This window comes from Homo sapiens, chromosome 19 (assembly GCF_000001405.40).
Source record: "Homo sapiens chromosome 19, GRCh38.p14 Primary Assembly".
Taxonomy (NCBI): domain Eukaryota; kingdom Metazoa; phylum Chordata; class Mammalia; order Primates; family Hominidae; genus Homo; species Homo sapiens.
The window spans coordinates 50906351-50912330 of record NC_000019.10 but is presented as its reverse complement, the minus strand read 5'-3'; the positions used below and the strand labels follow the sequence as shown (position 1 = coordinate 50912330).

The 5980-nt window shown below is 54.7% G+C and overlaps 1 protein-coding gene across 4 annotated transcripts; it reads left to right on the top strand.

The window, feature by feature from the left end:
• On the top strand, window positions 936–5980 carry KLK4 (kallikrein related peptidase 4). Of its 4 annotated transcripts, NM_004917.5 has the most exons (6): window positions 936–992; window positions 1582–1653; window positions 2917–3079; window positions 3502–3752; window positions 3836–3972; window positions 5245–5980. In NM_004917.5, exons 2-6 carry the CDS (start codon window positions 1593–1595, stop codon window positions 5395–5397), a joined length of 765 nt encoding a protein of 254 aa, NP_004908.4. In that variant the 5' UTR covers window positions 936–992; window positions 1582–1592; the 3' UTR covers window positions 5398–5980. The 4 variants fall into 4 exon arrangements, 3 of the variants coding, with proteins under 3 accessions (NP_004908.4, XP_011525847.1, NP_001289890.1); NR_126566.2 differs by lacking the exon at window positions 936–992 and having other exon boundaries at window positions 1593–1653; window positions 2936–3091; window positions 3840–3972; NM_001302961.2 differs by lacking the exon at window positions 936–992 and having other exon boundaries at window positions 1593–1653; window positions 2917–3091.

Sequence of the window (5980 nt, the reverse complement as noted above, 5' to 3'; positions counted from 1 at the left end):
TGCTGCGGCGACCCTCCTCCTCCTCTTCCCTGGGATCTCAGCTTAAATGTTCCCCTTCTCTGAGTCTCCCCGACCACCACCTTATATGCTGGTCCCTGCAGTTTTCCTTTATGGTCTGTGCCCCCGGGTAGGACGCGATCCCCAGTGACGAGGACTTTGCTGGTTCCTCCTGTGGCCCCAGCACCTGCCGCAGAGCTCGGAGTGTGGTAGGCACTCAGCTGCTTTTCACTGAGCGAAGACTTTTTAGTTCTCCCGCTCACCGAGAGCCTACAATGTGCCTGGCACTGTGTGCCTTTCCCTGAATTACCTCTTTGAATCCACTTGGGAAATGGGGCATAATGGTCACTCCAGTTTTACAGTTGGAAAAACAGGCTCACAGGGGTGCAGTCACTTGCCCAAGGTTCCAAAAATAGTTCGTGATGTAGGCTGGATACGAACCTGGGGAAATTTGCTGGAGAAGCACAGAAAGAGAGGGATGAAGGAGGAGGGGAGAGAGAGAGAGAGATTTAATTTAAAAAGAGAAAGAACATGAGAGAGAACAGGAGAGAATGAGAGGAAATGAAAGAAAACACGAGAAAAATAATGAGAGAGAGAATGAGAGAAAGAAAGAAGAAGAGAAAGAGAAAATGAGAGATACAGGCAAGAGAGAGGTATCTCATGAGAGAGAATAAGAACATGAAAAGAGAAAGAATGAGAGAGAGAGAGAGAAAGAAAAAGGAGAGTGGAGTCTAGGATCTGGGCAGGGGTCTCCTCCCTGGGTCCCTAGACCCTGCTGCCAGCCCCTTCTGGGCCCCCAACCACTGCCTGGTCAGAGTTGAGGCAGCCTGAGAGAGTTGAGCTGGAAGTTTGCAGCACCTGACCCCTGGAACACATCCCCTGGGGGCAGGCCAGCCCAGGCTGAGGATGCTTATAAGCCCCAAGGAGGCCCCTGCGGGAGGCAGCAGGCTGGAGCTCAGCCCAGCAGTGGAATCCAGGAGCCCAGAGGTGGCCGGGTAAGAGGCCTGGTGGTCCCCCACTAAAAGCCTGCAGTGTTCATGATCCAACTCTCCCTACAGCTCCATGTCGCTGGATTCTCAGCCTCTGTGCCTTCTGTCTCCACATCTCTCTAGACAGATCTCTCACTGTCTCTAGTTAGGAGTCACTGTCTCTAGTTAGGGGTCTCTCTGTCTCTCTGAATCTATATCTCCATGTCTAACTCTCAGACTGTCTCTGAGGATATCTCTCAAGCACTCTGTCTCTCCGGCTCTGATTCTCTGTGTGTCTTCCCTCCATGCTTGTTTGTGGGTGGCTAGACACCATCTCTCCCCATTCACAGATGGCTAGATGCTTTCTCTAAACTTTCCTTTCTACCTAGTTCTCTCTCTCTCTCTCTTTTCCCATCTCTCTCTCTCTTTTTCTCTCTCAGTCTCTAAATCTGTCTCTCTAGGTTCTGGGTCCATGGATGGGAGAGGGGGTAGATGGTCTAGGCTCTTGCCTACCTAATAACGTCCCAGAGGGAAGAAAGGGAGGGACAAAGAGAGGGATGGAGAGACTTGGGCTGAAGATCCCCAGACACGGCTAAGTCTCAGTCCTCATCCCCAGGTGCTGACGTGATGGCCACAGCAGGAAATCCCTGGGGCTGGTTCCTGGGGTACCTCATCCTTGGTGTCGCAGGTATCTGAGTATGCGTGTGTGTGTCTGTCCGTGCTTGGGGGCACAGTGTTTGTTAATGTTCAGGTGTGACTCAGTGTCCTCTTGCTTGTGACTGCAAAGCTGCCTGTGAGACGGTACCGTGTTATCCGTCCCCCATGGCTGTGCCCCTGCAACTCCTTGTATCGTGGTAAATTTGTGTGTGGCAGTGTGCCTGGGTGTGTGGTTGTACCTGTGAGACTCTGACAGTTTGTGCCTCTGAATATCTGGTGGAGTGACAACAGTGTAATGATGATATGGGGACAGGGGAAGCCGAGGGTGCAGGAGATTGTGCTTCCTGGGGCGTGATCCATTGCTGGGAATCTGTGCCTGCTTCCTGGGTCTTCAGTCCTGAGATCCCCCTCTCCCATCCCCAAGGAACTCACCTCACAGGACTATAAAACGGTGTTTTGGTGTGCATGGGCTTGTGGCTTGGTGTGACTGTGGGCAAGGCTGGGAGAGGATAGGAGTGACTCGGCGCAGGACCGACTCTTTGAGCATCAGTCTGCGCAGACAAGTGACCCGATCCTTGCTCCCAGCAACAACTCCACCCCCTGAGCTTTAATTCACCCCGAAGGACCCGATCCTACTGCTATGAGCCTAGACTCCTCTGTTGAACCCCTCCTGACCGTGGCTTTGCACCGCGATGGCACCAGTCTCACCTCCAGAGCTCACCCCAGAGCCCTGACTCCGCCCCAGAAGCCCTGGTCCCACCTTCTGAGACTGCCTCTAGCCATAACCCAGCTCTTGAAGCCTTGATGGCGCCCCTGCGCTGTAACCCCAACCCTAGGAGCACTGATCCCGCCTTCTCAGCCCACCCCCATGCCCTGACTCTCCTCCCAGGAGCCCTGACTACCCTGAATCCCTGACCAGGCTCCTGCACCGTGATCACCGCCCCTGGGAGCCCTAGGCCTATATCCTGGACCAGCCCCTGAAGCTCCGATCATGACCCCTGCACCATAACCCCACCCCCAGGAGCCCTGGGTCCGCCCCCTGGGCCCGCCCCCAGCCCTGACTCGGCCCCCCAAGAGTCCTGACTGCTCCTGAAGCCCTGACCACGCCCCTGCTCGGTAACCCCTCCCCCAAGAGCCCTGGGCCCGCCTCCTGAGCCCGTTCCCAGCCCTGACTCCGCCCCGAGGAGCCCTGACTGCTCCTGAACCTCTGACCACGCCCCTGCTCGGTAAGCCCACCCCCAGGAACCCTGGGCCCGCCTCCTGGTCCCGATCCCATCCCTGACTCCGCCCTCAGGATCGCTCGTCTCTGGTAGCTGCAGCCAAATCATAAACGGCGAGGACTGCAGCCCGCACTCGCAGCCCTGGCAGGCGGCACTGGTCATGGAAAACGAATTGTTCTGCTCGGGCGTCCTGGTGCATCCGCAGTGGGTGCTGTCAGCCGCACACTGTTTCCAGAAGTGAGTGCAGAGGTAGGGGGAGTGGGCAGGGCCTGGGTCCGGGGGCGGGGCCTAATATCAGGCTCATCTTGGGGTGCTCAGGGGGAAACAGCGGTGAAGGCTCTGGGAGGAGGACGGAATGAGCCTGGATCCGGGGAGCCCCAGAGGGAAGGGCTGGGAGGCGGGAATCTTGCTTCGGAAGGACTCAGAGAGTCCTGACTTGAAATCTCAGCCCAGTGCTGAGTCTCTAGTGAACTAAGGCAAGTTCTTGTCCCTGAATTTTTGTGAATGAGGATTTGAGACCATGGTTAAGTAGCTCTTAGGGTGTTTAGCGAAGAGGGTGGGGTTGGGGTTAGGAGATGGGGATGGGAATGGGGTTGAAGATGAGAATGGAGGTAAGGATGTAGTTGCCACAAAACTGACCTGCCCTCCGTGGCCCACAGCTCCTACACCATCGGGCTGGGCCTGCACAGTCTTGAGGCCGACCAAGAGCCAGGGAGCCAGATGGTGGAGGCCAGCCTCTCCGTACGGCACCCAGAGTACAACAGACCCTTGCTCGCTAACGACCTCATGCTCATCAAGTTGGACGAATCCGTGTCCGAGTCTGACACCATCCGGAGCATCAGCATTGCTTCGCAGTGCCCTACCGCGGGGAACTCTTGCCTCGTTTCTGGCTGGGGTCTGCTGGCGAACGGTGAGCTCACGGGTGTGTGTCTGCCCTCTTCAAGGAGGTCCTCTGCCCAGTCGCGGGGGCTGACCCAGAGCTCTGCGTCCCAGGCAGAATGCCTACCGTGCTGCAGTGCGTGAACGTGTCGGTGGTGTCTGAGGAGGTCTGCAGTAAGCTCTATGACCCGCTGTACCACCCCAGCATGTTCTGCGCCGGCGGAGGGCAAGACCAGAAGGACTCCTGCAACGTGAGAGAGGGGAAAGGGGAGGGCAGGCGACTCAGGGAAGGGTGGAGAAGGGGGAGACAGAGACACACAGGGCCGCATGGCGAGATGCAGAGATGGAGAGACACACAGGGAGACAGTGACAACTAGAGAGAGAAACTGAGAGAAACAGAGAAATAAACACAGGAATAAAGAGAAGCAAAGGAAGAGAGAAACAGAAACAGACATGGGGAGGCAGAAACACACACACATAGAAATGCAGTTGACCTTCCAACAGCATGGGGCCTGAGGGCGGTGACCTCCACCCAACAGAAAATCCTCTTATAACTTTTGACTCCCCAAAAACCTGACTAGAAATAGCCTACTGTTGACGGGGAGCCTTACCAATAACATAAATAGTCGATTTATGCATACGTTTTATGCATTCATGATATACCTTTGTTGGAATTTTTTGATATTTCTAAGCTACACAGTTCGTCTGTGAATTTTTTTAAATTGTTGCAACTCTCCTAAAATTTTTCTAATGTGTTTATTGAAAAAATCCAAGTATAAGTGGACTTGTGCAGTTCAAACCAGGGTTGTTCAAGGGTCAACTGTGTACCCAGAGGGAAACAGTGACACAGATTCATAGAGGTGAAACACGAAGAGAAACAGGAAAAATCAAGACTCTACAAAGAGGCTGGGCAGGGTGGCTCATGCCTGTAATCCCAGCACTTTGGGAGGCGAGGCAGGCAGATCACTTGAGGTAAGGAGTTCAAGACCAGCCTGGCCAAAATGGTGAAATCCTGTCTGTACTAAAAATACAAAAGTTAGCTGGATATGGTGGCAGGCGCCTGTAATCCCAGCTACTTGGGAGGCTGAGGCAGAAGAATTGCTTGAATATGGGAGGCAGAGGTTGAAGTGAGTTGAGATCACACCACTATACTCCAGCTGGGGCAACAGAGTAAGACTCTGTCTCAAAAAAAAAAAAAAAAAAAAGACTTTACAAAGAGATGCAGAGACACTGAGACAGATAAACAAGCCACAAAGGAGACAAAGGAGAGACAGACAAACAGAAACAGACAGACCACAAGCCCAAGAGAAGCAGCCAGCATTCAGGACATAGGACATCGGGAAGCAGGATTAGATGAAGTCAGGGATCTGGAATGGGACTTCCAACAGATATGTTGCTGGGCTATGTTGTTATTGATGATGGTTCTGTCTTTGTTTCTCAGTCTCATTTAGTTCCTTTCTGAGCCCACATCCATTTCCACCTCTCTGTGTTTTGAATTCTGACTCTCCCTCTCTTCACAACAGGGTGACTCTGGGGGGCCCCTGATCTGCAACGGGTACTTGCAGGGCCTTGTGTCTTTCGGAAAAGCCCCGTGTGGCCAAGTTGGCGTGCCAGGTGTCTACACCAACCTCTGCAAATTCACTGAGTGGATAGAGAAAACCGTCCAGGCCAGTTAACTCTGGGGACTGGGAACCCATGAAATTGACCCCCAAATACATCCTGCGGAAGGAATTCAGGAATATCTGTTCCCAGCCCCTCCTCCCTCAGGCCCAGGAGTCCAGGCCCCCAGCCCCTCCTCCCTCAAACCAAGGGTACAGATCCCCAGCCCCTCCTCCCTCAGACCCAGGAGTCCAGACCCCCCAGCCCCTCCTCCCTCAGACCCAGGAGTCCAGCCCCTCCTCCCTCAGACCCAGGAGTCCAGACCCCCCAGCCCCTCCTCCCTCAGACCCAGGAGTCCAGCCCCTCCTCCCTCAGACCCAGGAGTCCAGACCCCCCAGCCCCTCCTCCCTCAGACCCAGGGGTCCAGGCCCCCAACCCCTCCTCCCTCAGACTCAGAGGTCCAGGCCCCCAACCCCTCCTTCCCCAGACCCAGAGGTCCAGGTCCCAGCCCCTCCTCCCTCAGACCCAGCGGTCCAATGCCACCTAGACTCTCCCTGTACACAGTGCCCCCTTGTGGCACGTTGACCCAACCTTACCAGTTGGTTTTTCATTTTTTGTCCCTTTCCCCTAGATCCAGAAATAAAGTCTAAGAGAAGCGCA

Excerpts from the sequence above, each read along its gene's own strand:
- KLK4 (NM_004917.5), top strand. The coding sequence starts at position 1,593 with ATGGCCACAGCAGGAAATCCCTGGGGCTGGTTCCTGGGGTACCTCATC. Across the intron at positions 1,654-2,916 it reads CCTCATCCTTGGTGTCGCAG|GATCGCTCGTCTCTGGTAGC; the intron begins GTATCTGAGTAT and ends CTCCGCCCTCAG. Across the intron at positions 3,080-3,501 it reads GCCGCACACTGTTTCCAGAA|CTCCTACACCATCGGGCTGG; the intron begins GTGAGTGCAGAG and ends CGTGGCCCACAG.